The sequence below is a fragment of the Homo sapiens genome, chromosome 17 (assembly GCF_000001405.40).
Source record: "Homo sapiens chromosome 17, GRCh38.p14 Primary Assembly".
NCBI classification, from domain to species: domain Eukaryota; kingdom Metazoa; phylum Chordata; class Mammalia; order Primates; family Hominidae; genus Homo; species Homo sapiens.
The window spans coordinates 50506807-50532206 of record NC_000017.11 but is presented as its reverse complement, the minus strand read 5'-3'; the positions used below and the strand labels follow the sequence as shown (position 1 = coordinate 50532206).

General features: G+C 51.0%; 1 protein-coding gene across 11 annotated transcripts, besides 6 other annotated features; it reads right to left on the bottom strand.

Annotated features, from left to right (window-relative positions):
* Positions 1-705: 705 nt before the first annotated feature.
* Positions 706-24429, bottom strand: MYCBPAP (MYCBP associated protein). Of its 11 annotated transcripts, none has more exons than NM_001366294.2 (19): positions 23457-23768; positions 15510-15637; positions 14710-14914; positions 14509-14612; positions 13483-13666; positions 13118-13233; positions 12420-12567; positions 10982-11097; positions 10776-10891; positions 10126-10234; positions 9079-9268; positions 8423-8610; positions 7184-7330; positions 5940-6326; positions 4799-4920; positions 3937-4052; positions 3367-3512; positions 3019-3192; positions 706-880 (listed from the first exon to the last, which is right to left on the bottom strand). In NM_001366294.2, exons 1-19 carry the CDS (start codon positions 23530-23532, stop codon positions 779-781), a joined length of 2874 nt encoding a protein of 957 aa, NP_001353223.1. In that variant the 5' UTR covers positions 23533-23768; the 3' UTR covers positions 706-778. The 11 variants fall into 11 exon arrangements, 10 of the variants coding, with proteins under 10 accessions (NP_001353223.1, XP_005257783.1, NP_115509.5 ...); XM_005257726.3 differs by having other exon boundaries at positions 3019-3189; NM_032133.6 differs by having other exon boundaries at positions 3019-3189; positions 14755-14914.
* Positions 11482-11541: a silencer, noted in NCBI's record as "silent region_8702". NCBI's record gives its function as "represses an Ori minimal core promoter by ATAC-STARR-seq in GM12878 lymphoblastoid cells {active_cell/tissue: GM12878}" and the evidence as "EXISTENCE:reporter gene assay evidence [ECO:0000049][PMID:35858748]".
* Positions 20712-20801: a silencer, noted in NCBI's record as "silent region_8701". NCBI's record gives its function as "represses an Ori minimal core promoter by ATAC-STARR-seq in GM12878 lymphoblastoid cells {active_cell/tissue: GM12878}" and the evidence as "EXISTENCE:reporter gene assay evidence [ECO:0000049][PMID:35858748]".
* Positions 20902-21101: an enhancer, noted in NCBI's record as "active region_12386". NCBI's record gives its function as "activates an Ori minimal core promoter by ATAC-STARR-seq in GM12878 lymphoblastoid cells {active_cell/tissue: GM12878}" and the evidence as "EXISTENCE:reporter gene assay evidence [ECO:0000049][PMID:35858748]".
* Positions 23543-23672: an enhancer, noted in NCBI's record as "active region_12385". NCBI's record gives its function as "activates an Ori minimal core promoter by ATAC-STARR-seq in GM12878 lymphoblastoid cells {active_cell/tissue: GM12878}" and the evidence as "EXISTENCE:reporter gene assay evidence [ECO:0000049][PMID:35858748]".
* Positions 23693-23752: an enhancer, noted in NCBI's record as "active region_12384". NCBI's record gives its function as "activates an Ori minimal core promoter by ATAC-STARR-seq in GM12878 lymphoblastoid cells {active_cell/tissue: GM12878}" and the evidence as "EXISTENCE:reporter gene assay evidence [ECO:0000049][PMID:35858748]".
* Positions 23773-24062: a silencer, noted in NCBI's record as "silent region_8700". NCBI's record gives its function as "represses an Ori minimal core promoter by ATAC-STARR-seq in GM12878 lymphoblastoid cells {active_cell/tissue: GM12878}" and the evidence as "EXISTENCE:reporter gene assay evidence [ECO:0000049][PMID:35858748]".
* Positions 24430-25400: the final 971 nt, after the last annotated feature.

Below are 25400 nucleotides of genomic sequence, written 5' to 3'. Positions count from 1 at the left end.
TGGAGTGCTCTTCACACAGGGAGCCCAGCCCCAAATGGTTATGACTGACAGAAGACAATGAGGGGCCTGAGTTTGAGCTGACAATACCTTTTTTTCTGAGAGCCATTTCTAGCCTGTTTCATGTTCCCCTGAGCAAGGGAGGTAGCATGAAGATCAGCAGCTGTTTTTAAGGCAGAAAGATGGCTCAAGGCCAGATAGTTTGAGATGAGGAGGGGGATAAGGCAGACTAGACCCCGAAATAACAAGGTGATGTGGCCTCTAGAGCTGAAGAGGTGTGGTGAGCATGATCTTCAGGGACTGAATTGGGGCCCTGGGACCCAGCTGAAGAGGGGAGATGGCAGGGAGCCAGGTCCCATGGGTCTAGTTCTACTCCTCATCTCACACTTTGTCATACTTGGTGATGACACTTCGGGAAGACCTGGCTCCAGGAAGCACGACCCTGAAAGTGTGGGCCAAGGAAGCCAGAGGCAGGGACTACCAGAGGTGACACACTGTCCTGTCACCTGACTCCTTGTCTTGCTACCAATCTGCTCCTCTGCTTGGCATCCCACACATCACTTCCCCAGCTATGTCTGTCTGTCCTCCTGCAGGAGGGCTCTGGCAGCTGGCAGGAGGGGATCTGAGGGCAGGTGGAACATGGGAGGACCTGGATCAGGAGCTGACCTAGCCAAGATCCATCATGCAAGACACAGAGGCACACGGAAGTAGTAGAAACTTGAAGGTTCTTTATTGATTTATTTATTAACCCGTTTTCCAGAAGGTTGCTTGGGCCCGAGAGTCACCTGCAGAGGCGCAAAGCCTCCTCGACATTCTTTATGGGGCTGAGCTCATCAGCCAGGACCATCAGGTCAGTCACCAGGGTGTCCAGCAGCCCACGGACCTGGAAGAACGGGACAACATCACAGGCAGAGTTTACTCTGTGGGAAGCACCTATATATGAACTATGCTGTGAGAGAATAGCTGGAGAGGGGAAAGAAACCAGTTGTTTGTGAAAGAATTTCACAAGTTCAAAGTTCTTGTGAAATAATTTTTGGTTTTGCAGATTTTTTTTTTTTTTGACAGGATCTCACTCTGTCACCCAGGCTGGAGTCCAGTGGTGTGATCATGGCTCACTGCAGCCTTGACTTCCCTGGCTCAGGTGATTCTCCCATCTCAGCCTCCCAAGTAGCTGGGACTACAGGCGTGCACCACCAGACCTGGCTACTTTTTTCTATTTTTTGTAGAGATGGGGTTTCACCACATTGCCCAGGCTAGTCTCGAACTCCTGGGCTCAAGCAATCCACCTGCTTTTGCAGTTTTACTTTTCAAACCAGTCTGGGGAGGTGGCCCTGCGCTGGTACCTTTGACATATGGAGATACTAGAGCTAAGTTGTTCAAGGGGCAACTCCAGGGAGCCCATGGAGCGGTGCCCATTTAGCCGTTTGGGGTGGGCCTGGGCTCAGCCCCAGTTCTACTCTGGCCTCCTGGAGGCCAATTTTCCTTCCTGTATCCACAGACTGAAAGGTCTCTGGGACTGACCCCTCCAATGGGGTTGGATCATACAAGCCCAGACAAGTTGATTCTTTTTTTTTTCTGCAGAGATGGGGTCTCCCTGTGTTGTCTAGGCTGATGTCGAACTCCTGGGCTCAAGCAATCCACCTGCCTCAGCCTTCCAACGTGCTAGGATTACAGGTGTGAGCCACTGGCCAGCAAGTTGATTCTTTTTTTTTGGAGGTAAGAGTCTCACTCTTGTCACCCAAGCTGGAGTGAAATGGCGTGATCTCGGCTCACTGCAACCTCCACTTCCCGGGTTCAAGCGATTATTGTGCCTCAGCCACCCAAGTAGCTGGGACTACAGGTGAGTGTCACCATGCCTGGCTAATTTTTTGAATTTTTAGTAGAAACGGGATCTTACCATGTTGCCCAGGCTGGTCTTGAACTCCTGAGCTCAGGCAATCTGCCCACCTTGGCCTCCCAAAGTGCTGGGATTACAGGCACGAGCCACCGCACCTGGTCTGCAAGTTGATTCTTAATATCAAAGAGCCATGGAAGGGTTGACGTTGACCCCCATGGGTCCTCAGAGCCCTTTAATTACTTTCTAGACCCCATCAACCATCTGATATCTTAGTGATGTCACCAGTGGCAAATGGAACTTTTGATCAAATGAGATCCAGAGTGTGACCACAATACATGATGTAATCCCAGCTCCCCAGCTATCCACATTAGAGGAAGGCAAGACGTCGCCAATAGACATACTGACATATTGAAAATGGCTTTGTGGACCTCCCCTCCAAAACAAACAACAACACTAACAAACAAAACGGAAAACCTGGGTGAATTTCTAAGGACCTGCTACTTAAGAACGGATTAGGATGAAGTCTCTCTAGTCCTTCAAACTCTTACAGTTGATGGGAATGCACCCTGCATGGTGTTCTCCCAAGGAACGCATCTGCCAGGATGCACCTAACGGGGAGTAAGAAAGAGAAGGGCTTCCTTCCTCTCTGTTCCCCTAGAGTCTGTTCTCCAAAGGGCGGCCAGAGCCACCTTCTAAAGCCTATCAGACCCTATTGCGTTTCTATTCAAAACCTTGCGTGACTTCTCATTTCACTCCGAAAAATCCCAAGTCTTCACAATAGCCTGCAAACCATCCCCCACCCCTATGACCTGCTCCCCACTACTGCCCTCTCCCTTCTGGCCCCTCCCTCCTATGGCAGTTGCTCCCCATGCCTGGAGCACTCTTTACTGGACGTCTACTTGGCCACCCTTCCCCTCCCTTCAAATCTTTGTGGGTTGTCACCTCCTCACTGAGGCCTCTGTGCCTCCATTCCCTGCCTGGTCTATCTTCTCTCCCGTCGTACTCATCACCTAACATGCTAGGCGCATTCCTTATTCATGAGGCCTGTCTCACACACGAGGATGCCCTTCCTGAAGCAGCTCTGCTTCCACCATGATGGAGTGGGCACTTATTGTCTGCAGACTGAACGGAATGAATAAGGCAGGTGGGAGGCAGGGGAATGGCTGCTGGGCGCTTCCCTTCACCTCACTGTGCAGGCTCTGGGTGTATTTCCCCATGACCAGGGGGTCTATGGGTTCTTGAGAAGAGAGGATGATGTCAGGGGTAGGGTCTTCCAAAGAAAACCTGTCCTGACTTGCAGATTTTATGACTTTCTTGTCATCCTTTGCCTTGTGCTTCTTGCTGTTGGGACGGTCCTGCTGGGGGAGGGAGACACACATAGCCTTCAGGAGCTCCAGAGGTAGGCCAAGGATGTCCTCAACAGTAGCTCACTGGGAGAGCCTGGGCACATGCCCACCTCCACAGCCCCCACCTCCGCAGCCCCTCCAATCCCCTCCCCAGCCCCACCTGGCCCAGACCACGCCCCAGCATGCCTCTTTCCCGAGCAGCTTGGCTCCTTTCTTGTCTTCTTTGTCTTTGATCCCCAGTTGCTTCTTTTCCTGGGCTGCTCCTTTCCGCTCCTCCTTCCCAGCTTTCCCCACAGGTACCTTCACTTCCATGATAGGAGGTGATTTTTGATCTAAGGGAGGTGGGTGGAAGAAAATATGGCAGGCCCCCAACAGCCTAGTGGATGCTGCAGGTACGTGAGGAGGCTTGAGGGGAGGTGGAAAAGCAAAGGGCAATAGCCTTGAGCCCTGGTAGGCGCGTGGCTTCATGAAACAGGACTGTGGTGCCTATGTTCTGGTCCCAGCTCTGCCATGCCATGAATGGCCATGGATAAGTCATTTAACTTTGCTGGGATTACTAAACCAAGGTGGTCACTAAGGTAGCTTCTGGGTACCACATCCTGGCAGCGGACAGAAAGGGGTAAGGGGCCTACTCCATGGGCTCAACCTAGCAGAGCTTCCACCAAAGGAGTATGACTGGCCCAGGCACTGCTGCTTGTCCATTCAGAGAGATGAGGAGGGCTATGCAGAGGTGTGGTTGGTTGCACAAGATCTGACCTTGCTCTTCAGGCACATTCAAATAGATGGTCTCCTTCTCAGGCAGGCCCAGCACAGACCTCAGCCACATGGAATGGCCCACCAGGCTGTCAATCACATCTCGCCACAGCTGCAAACTAGAGGGCAAGACACAGTGGAGAAATGCCATCACTCCTCATTTGTCCTTGAACCTGCAGAGGCTTGGGTCCCTCCCTTCAAAGACCCTGGTGCCACGAGCTGCTGTGGAAATGCCACACCCCTGAACAGCCAGCATCCTCACTGTTCCCCGCCAGGGCAAGTGCTTGGAGGGGGTTCTGGCTTGCCTTGGGTGGCAACCAAGAAAAAAATGGCCCAGGACTAGGGTTAGGAGGCCTGCATGAATTCAGTCCTACTTCAGAGGGCTTGAGGCCAGGGCCAGACTTGGGTCCAGTCGCACTGGAGGGGCTGAACCTTGCATGAGACTTCCAGCATAAGGCTCCTGGGGCTTGTCCTGAGGGCCTTGAAAAGGACCCCACGCCTATACAAGCAAGTTCCAAACAGGTACAGGGGAGGGTGACAACAGAGAAATGAAGCTTTTATTGGAATCTGCCCCCCGTCTTCTTCCTGCCCTCTGGCTTCTCCTTTTTCCATTCCCCTGCTCACTGAGAAGGAACAAGGCAAAAAGGGGAAGAAAAAAAAGATAAGGTGTTTGATCTGCTGTGACTGCTCTCCAGTGAGCAGTAGGCACTGCAGGGTTCCAGAACGTGGAATGTTTGCGGCATGCTCTAGCAACCTGAGCTCAACGGAAGCTCAGACCCCTGGAGTCCCAGGACTGCCTGCCCAGGACCCCTGCAGATGCCACAAAGGGAAGGAGATGGGGCAGCTCTCCTGGCAGGGCACCTACCACATCTGGTGCAGGAGGTTGGACTGCAATGGCCTTGGCTTCTGGCACAGCTCCAGGGCTGCTTTGTTGAGCCTCATCAACGCATCCTCTCTGTGGTTCTCATCAGGGAGCACCATCACTGCCTGGCAGGGTCATGGGCACCATTCTGCACCAGGACACCAAGGCTGTGTCCTCTAGTGAAGGGCATGGTGATGTGGGGATGGGTGGCAGGGGACCAGGAACCAGGAGGGGATGCAGCTATGGAGAGCTGTCTGGGTGCCTTTGGTGGGAGCCAGGGACCCCCCTCAGAAATCTGTACCTATGAACCCCTTCTCCAAGATTTGCCAGGGTCAGAGAGTAGGCCCCCCTCCTGGAATATAGCAGCTTGGGCACCCCAGACAAAAACAGGTAACCCAGCTGGGCACAGTGGCTCACGCCTATAATCCCAGCACTTTGGGAGGCTGAGGCGGGCGGATCACCTGAGGTCAGGTGTTCGAGACCAGCTTGACCAACATGGTGAAACCCCGTCTCTACTAAAAATACAAAATTGGCCTGGCGTGGTGGCTCACGCCTGTAACACCAGCACTTTGGGAGGCCAAGGTGGGTGGATCACGAGGTCAGGAGTTTGAGACCAGCCTGGCCAACATAGCGAAACCCCGTCTCTACAAAAATACAAAAACTAGCTGGATGTGGTGGCGCATGCCTGTAGTCCCAGCTGCTTGGGAAGGCTGAGGCAGGAGAATCACTTGAACCCGGGAGGCAGAGGTTGCAGTGAGCCAAAATTGCACCACTGCACTCCAGCCTGGGCAACACAGCAAGATTCCATCAAAAAAAAAAATTAGCCAGGTGTGGTGGCACATGCCAGTAATCTCAGCTACTTGGGAGGCTGAGGCAGGAGAATCGCTTGAACCTGGGAGGTGGAGGTTGCAGTGAGCCGAGATTGTGCTATTGCACTCCCACCTGGGCAACAAGAGCAAAACTTCGTCTCAAAAATAAATAAATAAATAAATAAATAGATAGATAGATAACCCAAGAGATCACTTTCTCTGGGCTCTCAGGTTTTGTTTCTTTGCCCATAGAGCAAGAGGGGCTGCTGGGTCCTCCCTTGTTGGTTCGAGGCAGGAATATTCTCTACCATTGCCTTCCAGGGTCTTGGAAGCACCTTTCTGAAGTCCTCCAAGCAGAGGTTCCACTCCAGCAGGGGAAGGCCATCCGGCTCCCAGGGGCTCTTGGTGCTGTCCACATCTGGGCTTTCCTCCACCAGGATCTCCTCCATGATGCTCTTCCGCTGAGGACTCTTGGTCCCCACTCTGGCCTTCTGGGACCCGGATTCCCTGAGGGCCTCGTTCTCAGGCCGGGGCACTTGAGTTTCGGAGATGGGGCTCCTAAAGCGTGGTAACAGCTCAGCATTCACAGAGGCCTTCTCTGTGGCTATGGGGCTGACGTGCTCCTTGTCCCCTGGCCTGGCCTCCTCAGCCTTGGCGGGCAGGGTCATGTACTGGCGCCACAGTTGGTGCAGGCTTTGCACCACTTGGTGCTCATAATGCAGCTGCAGCAGAGGATGGGAAGGCATGTGAGGGGGAGGCTGGGGTGCAGGCCCCAGTTTCTTCAATGTAAATAAGGACATAAATAGTACAAGGGCCAGGCACAGTGGCTCAAGCCTGCAATCCCAGTGCTTTGGGAAGCCACGGTAGGAAGATCACTTGAACTCAGGAGTTCAAGACCGGCCTGTATGACATAGAGTGATCCTATCTCTACCAAAAAAAAAAAGAGAAATTAGCTGAGCATGGTGATGTATGCCTGTAGTCCTAGCTACTTAGGAGGCTGAGGTGGGAGGATCACCTGAGCCGGGGAGTTTGAGGTCACAATGAGCTATGAGTGGGACACTGTACTCTGGCCTGGAGTGTGACAGTATGACACGCTATTTCTTAAAAAAATAAACAAAAATAAATAGTACCCATCTCATAGGACTGCTGTGAAGAGAGGTGAGTTACTCATGGAAGATGCGCAGAACAGAGCTTGGCACATAAAAGAGTTTGCTATTACTGTCACCTAGGGCAGCAGTCCCCAACCTTTTTGGCACCAGGGACTGGTTTCGTGGAAGACAATTTTTCCACGGATGGCAGGGAGTTGGGGAATGGTTTCAGGATGAAACTTCCACCTCAGATCATCAGGCATTAGTTAGATTCTCATAAGGAGTGTACAATTTCCATCCCTCGCATGCGCAGTTCACAATGGGATTCGTGCTCCTATGAGAATCTAATGCCACCGCTGATCTGACAGGAGGCAGAGCTCAGGCAGTAATGCTGGCTCACCCACTGCTCACCTGCCGCTGTGCGGCCTGCGGGTTGGGGACCCTTGACGCAGGGCACACATGAGGGGGCAGGGGCTGGCGCTGGGCCTCACCGGAGGATTTCTGTGCCGGAACAAGTCTTCCTCGGTGAGATAGGCATCCACAGGTGATGGTGTGCGCTCCGGGGTCAAGACCCCCATCAGCAGCTCCTGCAGCACTTCGCGAACGACGGTGACTGCCTCATGGGCAGTCAGCTTGCTCTGCAAAAGGGAAGGTGGCAGAGGATGGCAGCCCAGGCTATCAAAACCAATGCATCCTTCAGGAAGTTGGAGCCCCCAGGACTTTGTGCCTTCCTAGGGTCTGAGTTCCTGCCATTGTCTCTCTCTCTCTCTCTCTCTCACACACACACACACACACACACACACGCCTGTTCTAAGACCTGAAAACCTCTGAGTCTCTCCAGACATCCTTGTTCCCTAAAAATGGATGAAAAGGATCCAGAGGAGGGCCAGTTCCAGTGACAGCTGCTGCTGCCTGGGGCCTGGTGGTCACACAGTTAGCATGTCACCAGATTAGGAAGAAGGGGCAGGGCACATAGTGGGGGTGCTTCTGAGGATGGTGGTGAACCTTCATCAGGCTTCAGTGAGTGTCACAGAAACACGGGAGGGGCGCCTTGTGTGAGACATGGGTTGTACAGTCAATGAGTAAAGCAAGCATGACATTGTCAAAATTACCTTTGATCACCACTGGCTGAGCCCCACATGAAGGAGCCGGCCTTGTGATTGGGGGCCACAATGAATAAAAAAGCACAGCTTTCCACCAAATCCCAGGATGCACGGCTCAAATGGCCACACTGTGAAACTGACTGCGGACGACAGATTCCAAGCTCCCACCTCACACTCACTCGAGTTGTCAGCTGATTGAGTGGGACGGTGGGCAGACTCATGCTGCTATGTATTAATTAATTATTCTCCCTGGTTTTGAAGTCTTGTCGCTTAAATGCAACTCCACTGTGTAGTACCAGACAGCGATGAACAAAACACAGACCAGTACATAGGGCCACACATTGTACTTTACAGTCTGCCTCTTAAGGCTCAGTCTAATTTCTTTCTAACTCAGTGGGGCCATGCATGGCATTGCTGCAAGCTGCTCCATGCCTGCCTAGCCAGCGCACCCATCTTTTAAATCACAAGCCCTGGGAAGTGTTTGTGGAGCAAGAGTAGTTACCTGTTTGCTAAAAATCCAATTCTCCTCTTAGGCTGGGAGAAATATGATCCCTTCAGTCACTGCCAGGAAGAACACCAGGATACCCTACCTGATGTCCACAGGGGCCATGGTCCTGGGTCCCTTACCTCCAGTACTTTCCTCTCATCCTCAAAAACGTCCTGGGTCAGGGAGACCGCGTGGAGATTGACCTGCAGTATAGCACCTCCTAATAGAGTAGGATGGGTTCGAAACTCCCAAAATTCCCTGAAGACCCCAGCAGTCAAAGACTTGAAGAAGAAGGTAAATGTTTTAATTTCTCCAGGCAGAATCACACCTGAGAGGGACAGAGACCCGAGGTTTTCAACATGCAGGAGCTGGCTGAGCCCCAGGCCTACATGCTCCTACATGCAGTTAACTGAGTCCCAGGCCAGGTGGCTGGCCAACCATCCCAGTTTGCCCAGGGCTGAGAGGTTTCCTGGAATGTGGGAATTTGAGTGCTAAAGTCCCAGGCAAACAGAGACAGCTGGCCATCCTAGCCCCAGGCCTGTGCACCTAGATAACTGAGCCCCTAGAACGCTTCTGCTCCCTGGTGGCTCACCTCCCCAGGTTCTCAAGTTCCATCAGTCTCTCAACAGACATGAGTAGTCAGGCCACACATTTCACAGAAGGAATGAGAGGGACAAGGCAGGGAAGCAGGGCTCAAACTTACAGGAGCTGGGCCATAACTAAACTTTGATGTCTCACGGAGGACAAAACCAGCCCCAGACAGGAGCTAGCACATAGGGTGGCTTCTCCCGAGTACCTTCCCGGTTGTCAAAGTAAAATCGCTGCATCCTGTTTTTCTTAAGGTCTTGGAAAGTGTCCGGCTGGTGCTGCCGTCGCCAGTCATACCAAATGGCCACGGTGCCATTATTGACCACAGTCAGTTCTGAGGAGGTTTTCTCGCCTTCTAGGGTTTCAAAGGTCAAGTGAGCAGCAATCCCAACCTGCCTCTGGAAGGAGGAGGGACAAGAAATGTCTTTGCTGCAAACCCTGGCCTAGAGTGAACAACTCATCTGGTCTGCCCAGGACTTTTCTGGCTTTAGCACTGCAAGTCTCGTGTCCCAGGCCTCCAGGGCTTGGCCACTGTCACACAGAGTGGTATCCTACTCCAGCGTGGTTGTCTCTGAGGTTACCCTCAATAGCAAGAAGAGAAGATAAAACAAATATATATATATATATTTTTTTTTTTTTTTTGAGACAGAGTTTCGCTCTTGTCACCTAGGTTGGAGTGCAATGGCGTGATCTCAGCTCACTGCAACCCCCGCCTCCCGGGTTCAAGCGATTCTCCTGCCTCAGCTTTCCAAGTAGCAGGGATTACAGGTGCCCACCACCACGCCCTGCTATTTTGTATTTTTAGTAGAGATGGGGTTTCACCATGCTGGCCAGGGCTGGTCTTGAACTCCTGATGTCAGGTGATCCACCCACGTCAGCCTCCCAAAGTGCTGGGATTACAGGCGTGAGCCTCTGCGCCTGGCCAGATAAAATATATTTTATATCCAATGAACACTTCTATTCCTTAGCATCTGAAGAATATTTTGGAACCTTCTTAGAGCCATACCTACTTGAGTTTGCTTGTTTACATGCTTGGGGGCTGGGTATAAGCCCCAAGTGGCTTATGACACTCGCAGCCTTGTGATTTTATTCTTGCTCAAGTCAGTGTTGCTGTCACCATTTTCAGACGTGCTGAATGCACGACCAGATAAAAACCCAAACAGGAGACTGTGCAGGCTGCTGGTAACTGCCAGTCACCTCAGGGCTGCACCCCTGAGGGAGGCTCTCCCAGCAGGTGTGGTGGAGGCTGTTTTACCTTGTCCTGTGGATTACTGCCTCTGATCCAGCAAGCTGGCTTCCCACAGAACAGCAGAGAAGGGCCGAGAATAGGCATGGAGACATCAGAGGAACTGGCCAATGTGCCTCTGTAAGAAAAGCCAATGACTTATTTTCTCTTAGGCTGCCACAGTCATGCCATGTGGAACCCCACAGAAACGGTCACCAGGAAGCCTAGAAACACAACCAGCTCTACCCTGCAATGGAGTATGATCAACTCCACTCCCACGCAGCTTCCTCCTGACCCATTGCTGTAGATGGGAGATTCTTAGAAACACACAGACTCTTTAAGCCCTCTTGCCAGAGCCACTCACAGTACACAGAAATACACAGACTCTCCATGCCAGAGGCATTCAAGATGCATAGCAGTGGGAGGGTCTAGAGAGCCCTCAGTTGACCAGCAAGGGAATGTCTGGGAAATCCCCATTAGGAGTTGGTTATTGGAAAGGAGCAGATGGCAATAGGAAAGCCAGCACAGGTGCTGGAATGGGTTCAAGGAGTGGGTGGCAACCACTGGACAGAAGCTAGGCTAGAGGCACCCTGATCTCAGGGAGGGAAGCCCGCTCTTTAATACTGGTAGGTGCTGGAGAACTCTTCAGCCTCTCTCCCCAGGGTTCAGGCTGCACTCACAAGTATGCTGTGTCTTCAGAGGAGCTTCCCTGACTTCTTTCAAACACTGTGTAGTCTTCCACAGTAACAGCCGAGAAGGGCCACCCTTTGCCCACCACCTCCAGGCCATCAATATCCTCCGAGAGATGGAGAAAGGTAAGATGAGCTGACTGAAGACAGGCATCGCCCCAAGGGGCTTCTGACTGGGGCATGGAGGCCATACCAACCTGCTGGCTGAAATCCAGCTCTTCCATGATTCTCTGCAGCTCCTTGCGTCGGTAGATCAGAAACAGACTCCGATCCCAGGTGTAGCGGTATGAAGCGTCCCTCTGGGCTGGTAATCCTAGCATGAGGTCCAAGGACCCTCAGCACAGGCTGCTGCCATGTCCCCTTGCTCACCCACTTCTCAAGGGCTCTGAGAGTGCCTATCCCAACACCATTTCTAGGAAGGACTAAAAATACAGCTTCCCTGTGGCAGCTAGACTCCCGTTCTCCTGTCCTATACCTCCTCAGCAGCCCTACACAAGACTCCTGAAAAATTAGCTTCCAAATAGCCAAATCTTTGGATTATAATAAAAATAATAACAGCAGCTACCTTTTATTGAGTGCTTAACAATGAGCCAGAACCTCTTAATACATTTCATATCTCATTTAGCCCTATCACAACCCTGTGCATATTTTACAGATGAGGAAACTACAGGCCAGAGGGGTTCAACCACTCTGGGGTTCACTAACACGACACAGCTGGGACCTGAACCCAGGCAGCCTGGCAGGCTCTAAAGCAGTGCTGCTTAAGAGAAACAGAATGCAAACCACAAGCACAAGCCACACGTGTCACTGAAAGTTTTCTAGATGCCACACTGAAAAAGGAAAAAAGAAACAGGTGGGATTCATTTTAGTAATATAGTTTGTTTGTTTGTTTATTTATTTATTTATTTATTTATTTTAAGACAGAGTTTTGCTCTTGTTGCCCAGGCTGGAGTGCAATGGCATGATCTTGGCTCACTGCAACCTCCACCTCCCAGATTCAAGCAATTCTCCTGCCTCAGCCTCCCAAGTAGCTGGGATTCTAGGCGCGCACCACCATGCCCAGCTAATTTTTGCATTTTTAGTAGAGACAGGGTTTCACCATGTTGGCCAGGCTGGTTTTGAACTTCTGACCTCAAGTGATCTATCCGCCGTAGCCTCCCAAAGTGCTGGGATTATAGGCATGAGCCACTGTGCCCGCCCTCATTTTAGTAATATAGTTTATTTAATTCAGTATATCAAAAATATTGTCATTTTGACATGTAATCAATATAAAAATGATTAATAAAATATATTGTTTTCACACTAAAGCCAGTGTCCAGTTGACAGTGACAGCACTTCTCAAGGCAGGGCAGCCACGATCCAGGCGCTCACCAGCGGCATGTGGCTCAAGGCTCCACACTGGACGGCAGCTCTATGGCTGCACTCCAGTTTCCTAGCTCTCTCACCGTTTTACTGAAGAAAAAGAAGAGGGAGCCGGACTTCAGGAAGACTCTGGGACTTGCCTAAGACCCCAGAGAACCACAGAGAAACAGGCCCTGGGCCTGTTTCACTGTAGAGCTATGCTGGCCACTTCCACACTACCCTGCCTCCGGGCCAGGCACAAGATGCTAGCTGGCTTACAGCCCTGCGCCTCACCTGTCTCCACCCGGATGGAGTGGGGCTTCCTGATGTGAGTGATGGGCTCCATGAGGCCACGCTGAGTTTTTGTCTTGGTCATGACCAGACCTGTCATCTCATCTCCCAAGTATTCCAGTCGACTCCAGAACCCACTGTTCTCCCAGCTCTGGCAAGGAAGGAAAGGTGAGTCAGATTACCAGGACACCTCAGCCAGATGCTGGTGGAGATGTGGGAAGACAAGAGCACCACCACAGGCTACAGATGCTTCCTCTGGGGAATTCATTGCTGCCGTGATTGCATAACAGAAGCATCCACTGCCGTGTTTTCTGGACACCCTGTTGTCATCTTTACCTGCCCCCAGCCAGATGGTGTGGGTTGGTACAGGTACTGCACTGGTCTACCAGAAAAAAAGGTGGGGGACTCTTCAACCTCTCTCTTTAGGGTGTAGGCTCCACTCAGTCTAAGCTCCTAGGAGACAAACACTAAGACTACTCTAATAACTTGCTACCTGTGTGGTCACCACAGGCTGAATAACTTTACTGACTAATCATATAATTTAGTAAAGGCCTTGAGGGCCTAATGATGTTTTGCAATGGATAGGTTTTTTCTCCCCAGCTGTGCCACCTGAGACCAGCATCCCTGTGTCCAGACACCTGCCCCCGCCCCCTCCTCCATGGACCCCCCTGCCCCCGGGCACTTAGGACAGGTGGCCTCACTTTCCTATCACGCCGGGTTGGAAGTGTGCAGTCAATGAGCTCCCGCTCCTCCTGGATCCGTCTGTAGGTCTCCCCGGTGTGCATGAGCAGCTCACTCACTGGCTTCTTTAGGTGTTCTAGAGAGAGAGGCAAGATTGCCGCCACTCTGCCGAACCAGAACAAACAGGGGCCTTGGCAGTCTGCATCGGGCAGCCTCCCTCACAGGGCTGATTTCAGGATCCACTGAAGCTTCAGAGTGAGACACTCTTGGGAGTGAAAGCACAAATGTGGTCAGCCCAAGGCCAGGCTCTGGAGGAGAGCAAACAACCCAGCAGAGCCTTGCTGCCAGATGGAGGCCGGGCGGGAGCCCTGTCTGCTCTGCTCACCGCTGAGGGCTTCCTGCTGCTTCTTCCGCAGGGCTGTGTTACGCTGCCAGTTTTTCAGAAAGTTGTGCTGAGGAGGTGGGGCCCAGGGAGGTCTCTTCTCTTCTTTTGGGGCTTTTTGCTTTGACTCTCCTTCAGCAGAGATGAGGGTCATCAGACAGGGTGAGGTAGGTATCCGCTCAGCCAGCTGAAAAGTACAACATAGGTATGTGGAGGGCAGTAAGAAGGCTCTGGGCAGGGCTGAGCACACATTTCCCGAGGCCTAAACCCGTGCTGTTATCCCACTGCGCTGAGAGTCCCTCCTCTTCAGGACTCCAGAGTAGCCAGTGACAGAAAATAAATCCCAGAACCAGGGGGCCCTGAAAGCAGCTGTCAGTCCACTCTCCCCCACAAAGGGAACTTCTGTTTCAAGATTGGGGTCAACATCTAGTGTATTTGTCCTCACAACTGATGTTGATTGCCACCTTCACCCATGTGTAAATGGAAGCATTCTTACAGGGCCCCAGGCCCCTTAGCGCCTGACCAATCAGAGTCAGCCTGGAACCAGGGAAGCAAGGGGAAGAGACAGGTGAAGCACTGCATGATGGGAAGGCTGGAAAGATACAGAATCTTCCCGTGGCCCAGGAAGCAGTGGGAAGCCACCTTCCTCCACCACGTGGACTGAGGAGGGCAGGCCAGTCTCCAGAGAAGGGAAAATCAAGACAGTGCACAGAGCAGAGGGAAATGAGGCATGTGGGCCCTGAGTCCTGATGCCTTTTTGGGTGCAGTCTACCCAGACCCAGGTACTCCCGCCTTTGGGTTCCATGAGGCAATCTCTGGAATCCTTACAGTAAATCCCTGACTTCACTGAAGCCAGCTTCAGCTGCCTGAAGTGTCCAACTATTCTGGGAGAGGGTCCCTTATCAACTCAGACTCAAAACCTACAGACTAGACTGTCTCTTTAACCCCAGCCCTGCTTGACTGTGTCAGGTGGGAGACCAAAATGACTTCAGTGACTGCTCTCATCCGGGTAGTTCTGTGCAAACAAACCTGGGTGTTCCCTCGAGCAAGTGCAATTCTCTTAAAATCCTGGAGACTCCCCAAGATGTGGTGGGGCAGGATCTGGTCACTGCCATCGAAGCTGTCACCGGGACCTGGGAGGATAAAAGAAGAAAGGGGAAAGAAGCTGTGGGTGGACAACTTTCAAGAGGGCAACTTTCTGATGGAGACTGGGTTTCTCTTGAGGCTGACCCATGAGTTGAAAGACAGTGAAGCCAGGGCTGAGACTGGGTGTACCGGAGTAGTCCAGAGGCTTTGTGGCTTCATCAGGATTCGCAGGACGTGCTACAAGGTGGCAGACCTTCCTCCTAGGATCCATGGGTTTGAGTTTACGGATGATAAATTTCTGGGTGATGACACGTTTATCTTCCTTTTCAGTAAGGCGAGGAATGTGTTGCTAAAAAGAAATAAAACAAAGGAGAATTCCACCTGTGGTGGCAGGAGGAAGAGCACCACCCATCTCTTCTGTTCTAGTTCTGGGTGGAGTTCCTGAAGGCTGACAGATCTGTTTCTTCAGCTCTGTCCATATGTTCTGTCAAGGAAATGCCTGTGTAACAGATATGTGACTTAGTAATATCCTGGAGGGAAAAAAAAGAACATCTTATGCCTCCAGACAGTTTGGGTGAGAGATGGCTGACTCTCCCAGGTAAAGCATGGGGTTAGGGTTTAGCAGCTTTACCCAGAGCTGTACCTTGGCTCCTTAAACTCATCCTCCGGTCTGTGAAATGGGAATGATGGCACCTACCTCTATGGGAAGCAAGATACCTCATCATCTCATTTCCCCTGTGGTTCTATATGAATCTCAGAAATGTTAAAACAGACAACACAGTGAATTCCTTAAGGTGGTAAAGTGAAAAGAATCTGTGTTCAGTGGGTTTTTCCATGGAGTTAGACACTCCCCATGAGTAGGGACATGGCTGGTGTTCTAGACCACTCAGGCTGCCGGCAGGGAAACGTTTCTATGGTAAGGGAAGCTTGGGCTTCATCCTCACCTCCTTCAAGTCTTCCTTCTTAATGGCCAAGGCAAGAATGTCATCTCCTTGTAGGACATTGCTAACAGGTTCAGGCTCTTCCTGAATTGTGGGTGTGGGTTGTTCAGGTCCCTTTGCCCGCTTCTTTTCTGAAGAGAAGCAGAAAGTTATTAAGTCCTTAAAGAGCTCCTTCTGTATATATCAATATATACATACAAAAATAAAAGTAAAAATATATACTAGACTCCATGGTGGGGGGCAGAGCTGACCAGCTGGATAGATAGCAGAGGCTGCCAAGGTGGCCTGGGTAGCACTTTGCTGGGGCAATGGGAGTTCTCTCTGGAGGGTCCCCCTACCCACAGCCCCTGGCTCACCACAGTGACTAAGACTTCTGTAGCCAGAATTGAGATCAGAAGATGTTTCGTTTCAGGCCAGGTGTGGTGGCTCATGCCTGTAATCCCAGCACTTTAGGAGGCTGACACAGGAGGATCACTTGAGGCCAGGAGTTCAAGACCAACCTGGCCAACATGGTGAAACCCCGTCCCTACTAAAAATACAAAAATTAGCCAGGTGTGGTGGCCCATGCCTGCAGTCCCAGCTACTCGGGCGGCTGAGGCAGGAGAATCACTTGAGCCCGGGAGGTAGAGGTTGCAGTGAGCTGAGATCGTGTGACTGCACTCTAACCTGGGCAACAGAGTGAGACTCTGTCTCAAAAACAAAACAAAACAAAACAAAAAGATGTTTCATTCCGGGTGCCGTGGTGCAAGCTTGTAATCCCAACACTTTGAGAAGCCAAGGCAGGAGGATTGCTTGGGCCCAGGAGTTCAAGACTAGCCTGGGCAACATAGTTGAGACTCCATCTGTACAAAAAAGATTATTTTTAATATACAAAAAAGATGTTCCATTTCAGGCTATGCTATTTATAAGCTGGACAGTCTTGGGTACGCATCACTTAACCTCTCTAGGCCTCAGGCTTTCCATGTGTAGAAAGAGTCAGTTGGACTAAATCAGTGGTTCCCAAGTTATTAGTCCAATGTCTGCCTCAGAATCTTTGGGGGAGTTTTATGAATACAGCTTCCTGACTACTGCATGGAGCCAGGGCCTAGGGAGCTGTACTTTTTTCAACTCCCTAGGTGATTCTGATGCACAGTGGTTTGGGACAACTGAACTAGATGTTTTGCCAGCCTCCTCCAGTGCTGGCACTGATCCATGCTTCTGGGTGAAGGCACAGGGTTTCACAAGACACTGGTTAAAGTGCAGAATCTCTGTGGGGGAAGCAGAGCATTCACCACTGGCCATTTATTGCATATTCATTTAATAAAGATTGTTTAAGCAGCTTCTACATGCCAGGCACTGTGCTAGGTTCTAGGGATACATGCCAGAGCTTGTCTTTAAAGAGCACATGCCCAATGGGAAACAAGACCGTGAAACAGACTGAGCCAGAGTAACTACAGGAACATGGTGGGGGGGAACAACCAGCCCTGAGTCGGCGGGCGTGGGAGGTGGGGGAGTCAGGGAGGGCTTCCTAAGGAAGGGATGTTTAAATAGAGCTGAAGAAGCTGGAGAAAGGAAAGGGCCCTGGGGAACAGGCATTCCAAAGAAAATAACATAAAGAGGCATAGTGGCAAAGAATGGAGCACATCCCTGGAACTCAAAGCATGTGTTTTTGAATAGCTGGAGTGTGGTGAGGTGGGAGGGAAGAGGCAGAGCCCAGAGACAGCAGCAGCCGCCATATCGTGAAGAGCTCAGTGAGCCATGTGAAGGCTTACCCCATGGGCAATGGCATGCCAAGGAATGGATTAAGAGTTGCAAGATCTTGGGAGGCCAAGGCAGGCAGATCGCTTGAGCCCAGGAGTTCAAGACCAGTCTGGGCTCTATAAAAAAAATCAAAAAATTAACCAGGCATGGTAGTACATGCCTGTAGTCCCAACCACTTGGGAGGCTGAGGGGAAGGATAACCTGAGCCCAGGAAGTGAAGGCTGCAGTGAGCCAAGATTGTGCCACTGCACTCCAGCCTGGGTGACAGAACAAGACCCTGTCTCTAAGAAAAAAAAAAACCTGCATGACTGAGGATGAGTGTATGAATGTATTTAAGAGTCCGTTGTGGCAGCCACAGCATGACATTGACAACACCCGGGGCAGAAGGGGGTCACAGGTCACTCTCCAACGAGGACACACTCCCTGCCTTCCTTTCACAGAGGTGGCTTAACAGGATCAAACACATCTCATTTCTCTGGCTGGTCAACCCTGTCATTTTCCCTCTGGTTCAGAATGGTTTGATATAAGGCCCTACATAAAACAATCAAAAGAAAACCTAAGTCCTGAGGCCTTTAGGGAGTTTAAAACAAAATTTGGTTTTATCCACTGCTTCTTACAGCACCGTAATCTTTAAGAGGCAATATCACGAAAACATAAAGGCAGGTGTTTTGGTTAACAAAATCCAACTTTTTTTAGGAAATTTCCATAGAGTTGGTGGCCAAAAAAACTCACACCAAAATCATTCCAAACATAGTTCTAAATTCAGCCTGTTGGCCAGGTGCAGTGGCTTACGCTTGTAATCCCAACACTTTGAGAGGCCGAGATGGGAGGATTGCTTGAGGCCAGGAGTTCAAAACCAGCCTGGGCAACACAGGAGAACCTATCCTTAAAAATAATTTTTGTTTTTCTATTAGAAAAAATAATAAATTCAGCCTATCATCCACAGTCTGTTTCTGTAATGGGGTCAGCAGAGGTTTGGAAGTATCTGTCTGTTAAATGCATGGCTCTGTGCACACAAACACACATGCAGGGCTGCCGGCTGAACCCCGAGTTCCAGTCTCATCTGCCGCCATGTGTGGGGATGCAGCCTTGGGCTTTGATTTCTACCTCCCTTCTCCCTTCTACACAAACTCACCAAAGTGGGTGGCAGCCTATGAGAACTGAGATCAGCTGAAGGTCTGTTTTTGTAAATATTTTGGTATTATCTGTACTTTCTAGGACATTTGCTTCCTTTATCCATAACCTTGGCTGGGTTGACATCTTTCCAAGTGATTAAACGTCTCCAGATGTGTGCTTTTTACTGGTGGGTGCACAATTACCACGTGTCAATAGAAACTTTCAACACTGCCGAAGATTTTTGGGGGCCAAAGCTCCCATCCCTTCAGTGATAGAGAAGCTAATCTTTCATGTTTGCTTTAGATTGAAATAGTAAAACTCTGGTCTAAGGTTATTCTGAGAAAGTTATCTTTAATGTAGTCCAATAAATGCTCTGTTACTGCATACAGTCAGGGAGTGGTATGTTCTAGTTATTAAAATATTCATTAAAATGATATATACATCTTTTTTTTTTTCTTGAGATGGAGTCTCACTCTGTCCCCCAGGCTGGAGTGCAGTGGTGTGATCTCAGCTCACTGCAACCTCCGCCTCCCGGGCTCAAGTGATTCTCCTGCCTCGGCCTCCCGAGTAGCTGGGAATACAGGCATGCGCCACCATGCCCAGCTTTTTTTTTTTTTTTTTTTTTTGAGATGGAGTTTCACTCTTGTTGCCCAGGCTAGAGTATAATGGCGTGATCTCGGCTCACTGCAATCTCTGCCTCCCAGGTTCAAGCGATTCTCCTGCCTCAGCCTCCCAAGTAGTTGGGATTACAGGCATGCACCAACATGCCTGGCTAACTTTTTGTATTTTTAGTAGAGGCTGGGTTTCACCATGTTGGCTAGGCTGGTCTTGAACTCCTGGCCTCATATGATCCACCTGCCTCAGCCTCCCAAAGTCCTGGGATTACAGGCATGAGCCACCGCACCCGGCCGCCCAACTATTTTTTGTATGTTTTGTAGAGACAGGGTTTCACCATGTTGGCCAGGCTGGTCTCAAACTCCTGACCTCAGGTGATCTGCCCACCTCGGCCTCCCAAAGTGCTGGGATTAGAGGCATGAGCCAGTGCGCCCAGGGATATATATGTATCTTAAAGTTAAATTGCTCCTCGAGAGTGCTTACCAAGCCCCTTCTATGTGCTATAAACTACAAAGATGGTATAAAAGGTTAAGATATGGCTCCTTCTCTTGAGGTACTGAAAAATGTGACAGGAACACACACCAATCATAGCTAGAGGAGTTCCTACATTTGCGGTACAGGCAATAGGTTTGGTTAGACATCAAAAAAGGAACAGATCCATGTGGATTACACAGTTCAGGGCTCTGAAGAAGTGTTCAGAGGAACAGCTGCAGAGGTGGCTCCACAGGCTGAGGCAGGCTGCAAAGGAGAGGCAAGCTTTGCACAGGTACAGCGGCAAACCAAGATGCTCCAGGTGAAGTCAAAGTCCAAGCAAAGCAAGGGGCAGGGCTGAGCATGGCACGTGAGTGGCACGATAACACAGAAAACTTGCTGGGGGGCCGGGCGCGGTGGCTCACGCCTGTAATCCCAGCACTTTGGGAGGCCGAGGCAGGTGGATCACGAAGTCAGGAGATCGAGACCATCCTGGCTAACACAGTGAAACCCCGTCTCTACTAAAAATACAAAAATATTAGCCAGGCGTGGTGGCGGGCACCTGTAGTCCCAGCTACTCGGGAGGCTGAGGCAGGAGAATGGCGTGAACACGGGAGGCAGAGCTTGCAGTGAGCCGAGTTTGCACCACTGCACTCCAGAGCCTGGGCGACAGAGCAAGACTCCGTCTCAAAAAAAAAAAAAAAAGAAAACTTGCTGGGGAGGTGGAGAGGTGGTGATGTTGGGGATGAGAGGGAAACCAGGGCATGACAGCTTTGTAAAGCATGGCTCAGGCATCTGATCTTTGGTTCAGGGGAGTGAGTTGATGACAGGTGCATTTCAGAATGATTCATCAGATGAAGAGAGCCAGATGGACCGGAGAGGCAGAGGCAAGCTGGGGAGACCAGGGAAGGAAGAGCCCCAGGGATCATTTTAGGACCTGCAGGAAGACTCCACAGGGCTGAGGTATGTCTGACTACTGAGCCTATACAGGCCCAGCTCTTTCTGGTTCTTTGGTCTGGAATCCCAAGCTGATAGGGCTCCTAGTGAGCCACCCAGCTGACATTTCTCCCTTGATGCTGACAGTGAGGGGTAAAAGAGACCACCCCGCTTGCACGGGGTAGTCAGTCTCTTGTCGGAGCTGGACCAGAGGGCTGGAAGCAAGGTGCTCAGGTGGGGGTAGGAAGCGAGATACGGAGCGGGGAAACTATGGAGGGAGAAGAAACCCGGACTCTATTTCTTCTGCTTCTTGTTTTATCTAAGTATTATTCGTTTTTAGTGTTGATTAAAGTCTTTGGGAAATTCTGACCTTAGGGTTGGGCTGGGGGAACCATGGAGGGGCTGTCCCTACTAGGGCAGAGCTTTAATTGGTTGGGGAGGGGAATCTAATATTGCTAGGAGGGTTCTTGGTTTCTTAGCAACAAGACAGCGGTGGGGAGGTGGTGCATAGCAGGAAGGGAGGGTACTAGGACTCAAAAGGGCTCTCAGGTCCCGAGAAACAGGTTTAAGTCACTATTTTTGCTTTCCTTTTTGCTTATGAGTCAGAGACTTTGGAGAAACATCGCACAAGGTTACAAAATGACACTGGGTCATTAGCTGCCTTGTATGGGGGCTGGGGGAGAGTACTGCTCTACAACATTAGAGGCTCCCCTGAGATATTTTTAAAAAGATATCTTGCATGCTAAACACTTCATTTTTTTTCCCTCCTCACTCTGGTGCATGTTCTTAACTCAAGGGTTAATTAACAAACTAAATTTTCTGCTTATTAAAAATAAATATGCAGTGAAAAATCTTTCCTTGATTTGTTTACAGCAGTTCAAATCTGATACGATCTCCCAGAAACTATGTGAGCAGGAGGCAGTGGCTAGGAAAGCCCTTGACTGCCCTTGTGAAAGGAGACCAGATATTCCCTCTCTCTCAACTATTAAAAAGTATGTCACGGGCCAGGCACGGTGGCTCATGCCTGTAATCCCAGCACTTTGGGAGGCCAAGGTGGGAGGATCGCTTGAGCCCAGGAGTTTAAGACCAGCCTGGGCAACTTGTCTCTACAAAAAAAAAAAAAAAAAAAATTTGCCAGGCATGGTGGTGTGCACCTGTAATACTAGCAACTTGGGAGGCTGAGGCAGGAGGTTCACTTGAGCCCAGAAGTTCAAGACTATAGTGACCTATGACTGTACCACGGCACTCCATCCCGGGTGACAGAGCGAGGCCCTGTCTCAAAATACATATATATATATATATATATATATATATATATATATACACACACACACACACACACACACACATATATACACATATACATAATATATATAAAATACATACATATATATATATAGTATGTCATAAAACAGCATTGGACTTTTATTTTTTTAATAATGGGGGTCTCACTGTGTTGCCCAGTCTGGAATGCAGTGGCTATTCACAGGTGTGATCATAAACTCCTGGCCTGGAACAATCCTCCTGCCACAGCCTCCTGAGCAGCTGAGACTGCAGATGTGCACCACCATGCCCGGCTCAACGTTGGACTTTTATACGTGAAGAAACATAAAGCCATACTGAAAAGCGACTAAGCTCCTGTTAGTTTTCTGAGGGTCCCCTCTCCTCACAATGAGCTTTCACAACTCTGAGGCTGGGTCTCCCCAGGGCCTGCAAGAGCACATCCAGGCTTTCTGACCTAGTACATAAAGCCCTTTCATGGTCTGGCCCCTGACCTACCCACCTGTGCAGCCTCTTCTGGTTCCCACATTTACAGTTCCATAAACTCATGCTGCTTCCTAGACCTAGAGAAGCAAACCTCTCCTTTTTTTTCTTGTCTGCCATAGATGTCACCTTCTTCAGAAGACGTACCCCTACAACCATCCCTGGTCTGGCTCAGGTGCTCTGAGCCCCCTTAAGCCCGATGGGCACCTACATCACAGCATTTGTATTTCTACCTTTGTCAGGTTACTCCTCCAGGTGTTCATTAGACTGAGTTTCTTGAGGACCAGGGTCACACAGTTAATACCGATACCCTTCTGGTGAGCCACAGTACCACACAAAATCAGCTCTCAGTAAACAAAAATAGGCTGGGCGCAGTGGTCCATGCCTGGAATCCTAGCAGTCTGTGAGGCCGAGGCAGGAGGATCGCTTGAGGCCAAGAATTTGACACTAGCTGGGGCAACACAGCGAGAGCCCTGTTTACAAACACACACACACACACACACACACACACACACACACACAGAAAAAAAAAGCTAAAAATTAAATTTAAAAATAAATAAATGGAAACAGCCAAAAAAGATCAAAAGGGGGTGGGTTGCAAGTGAGAACATGTCCATGGAAGTCAGTCCGCTATCAGACGCCCTGTGGCTCTCCCAGGTGCAACCAGAAGAAAGCTGTAGAGGGTAGGAAGCAGTCATATCTAGCGATTCTTTCCAGGCTAAAGGAGCTGGATAAGTGTCATCCAGCTGGAAAGTGCACGTGGTAGGAAAAGGCAGTCAAAAAGAGAACTAGCCAAGCAAGGCCTTTCTTCTGGGTTTTTCCAGCAGGAATCCTAAGTGACGCCTGCCCCGCTCCCCGACCCTCCTCTACCAAATAATCCCATCAAGGTGGCTGGTTTCAACACTTCATTCTTTCCTCTTCCCAAGGACCCCAATTCCTGGCCCTTCTACCCTTAAACTCTTTCCTGGCTCTTCTGCACTTCATCCAGTCCGGGGATCCTGCCTCCTGCATGCCACCCTAAGATGTGGTTAGAGGTAGCGCAAGGCCATCTCCCCAGCCAGTGGTCCCTGAGGCCCCTCTGTCAGTCTCCCACTTCCTATGTCCCCATCCCCAAGGCCCAGTGCGCTGTAGGCTCTTCCTGCCTTGCCCCCCATCCCTAAGGGTCCTATGCCCAGTACCCCACTTCCCCGTGATCTTTCCTCCATCCCTGGTGCCATCCCCATCCTCCAGGCCCCGTGTCCTGAACTCTTTCCGGGGACCGCTTCCCCTCTCGGGTTCTCCCGAGCGCCCAAGGCAGCCAGCGCCAACCTTTGACATTCTCTGAGGCCTCTAATAATCTGGTCGGAGTTATTCTGAGGCGGGAATCCTTCTTTAGAGACTTCATGGTGCCGCCCGGCACCATGAAACGTTGCCCTGCACCGCCGGCCCAGAGACACCGAGGCTGCGCCGCACCCGCCAGCCAACGGCCGCCACTGCGTCCACAGCAACCGGTGCCCCGCGCGGGGGCGCGCATCCACCGATCAACTTGGGCGGAGACGGCTTGGAAACCTCCTTCTTCATCGGGCCGCGCACGCGCCCGCCGCCGGCGGCTTCAAGAGCGACGGACCCCTAGAAAGCCCTGCGGGCCCGGCCTGTGACGCCACAGGCGGCGCCGACGAGCGCCGTGACGTCACCAGCCGGGCGGGGCGGGGCGGGGGACCCGGGCGAGGACCCCCGCGAGTTGCGGGAGCCGAGGGCTGGGTGGGAGTGGCTGGCTGGTAGGGGTGCATGACCCGCCTCGCCCCGCCCTGCTGCTAGGCCACGGGGGGCGGGTGGGGCGTCGGGGGTGCCAGCCCCTGCTTCCCGCCTTCCTCGACTAAGGCCACATCCTGTCGAGGGACCTCCCTCTGCCCCCCTCACAGCGGTTCTGGGGGGGGATCGGGCCTTTCAGGACGTGCTGAAACCCCTTCGTGGCGTACCGTAGGTTTTAGGTGTCCCTGCCTGCCGTCCCCAACTCGCACCAACGCGCCTGGAGACCTCCCGGGTCCACGCTCGCTGCAGCCACTTTGGCCTTTCATCACTTCCCAAACCAGCCAAAACTTTTGCCCTGACTTGGGGCATTCTCACAGTCCTTGGAGATGCTGCCTCTGATTATTTTAAGTTTATAAACGCACCCGCTTTTTTCGCCTTCCCCTGGAGCCCTGAGGCATTCTGGGATTATTTCGGTTTTTTGTGTAGTTGCCTATTGTCAAACTGGCTCTCAGAATGTATGAGAGCAGGAGCTGCCTCAGGCCCTGCCCCCAACCCAAAGTTTAGCACTAGTAGTCAGGCAGTAAATTGTACCTCAAATAGTGAAGGGGTTCTAGAGCCAGACAATTGGGTTCTAATCCCAGCTATGTCGGCTTGTTAGCTGTGTGTTCTTGAGCCAATGCCTTGACCTAGAGAGCCGGTTTTCTCTGCTGGGCACAGTGGTTCAGGCCTACAATCCTAGTGCTTTAGAAGGCTGAGGCAGGAGGATTGGTTGAGGCCAGGAGTTCAAAATTGACCTGAGCAACGTAGGGAGACTCCATTCTAAAAAAAAAAAAAAATTTTTTTTTTTTTTTTTTTGAGACGGAGTCTTGCTCTGTGCCCAAGCTGGAGTGTAGTGGTGCCATCTCGGCTCACTGCAACCTCTGCCTCCCAGGTTCAAGCGATTCTCCTGCCTCAGCCTCCTGAGTAGCTGGGATTACAGACGAGTGCCACCATGCCTGGCTAAGTTTTGTATTTTTAGTAGAGATGGGGTTTCACCAGTTGGTCAGGCTGGTCTCGAACTCCTGACCTCGTGATCTGCCCGCCTCGGCCTCCCAAAGTGCTAGGATTACAGGCGTGAGCCACCGTGCCTAGCCTAAAAAAATTTTTTTTTAATTAGCTGGCTTTGGTGGCCCACACCTGTAGTCTTAGCTACTCTGGAGGCTAAGGCAGGAAGATTGCTTGAGCCCAGGAGGTCCAGGCTGCAGTGAGCTCTGATTGCACCACTGTACTCCAGCCTGGGCAACAAAGTGAGATCCCCATCTCATACATCCATACATACATATATACATACATAAAATGGAGGTCATAATGCTGCTCTCACAAGGCCACTGCCAGGGTTAAATGAATATGTATGTATTTCTTTTTCTTAGCGAGTATCTCACTCTGTTGCCCAGGTTGGAGTGCAGTGGCACAATCATAGCTCACTGCAGCTTCAAACTCCTGAGCTTAAATGATCCTGCTGCCTTAGCCTTCCGAGTAGCT

What these genes read in the sequence shown, in the direction of transcription:
- MYCBPAP (XM_017025205.2), bottom strand. Translation starts at nt 23,661, where the DNA reads ATGCGCGCCCCCGCGCGGGGCACCGGTTGCTGTGGACGCAGTGGCGGC. An exon ending in TCTGAAGACACAGCATACTT is followed by an intron (nt 10,235 to 10,775) that starts GTGAGTGCAGCC and finishes CTTTTCTTACAG; the next exon opens with AGGCACATTGGCCAGTTCCT. An exon ending in ATGAGAGGAAAGTACTGGAG is followed by an intron (nt 7,331 to 8,422) that starts GTAAGGGACCCA and finishes TCCCTTTTGCAG; the next exon opens with AGCAAGCTGACTGCCCATGA.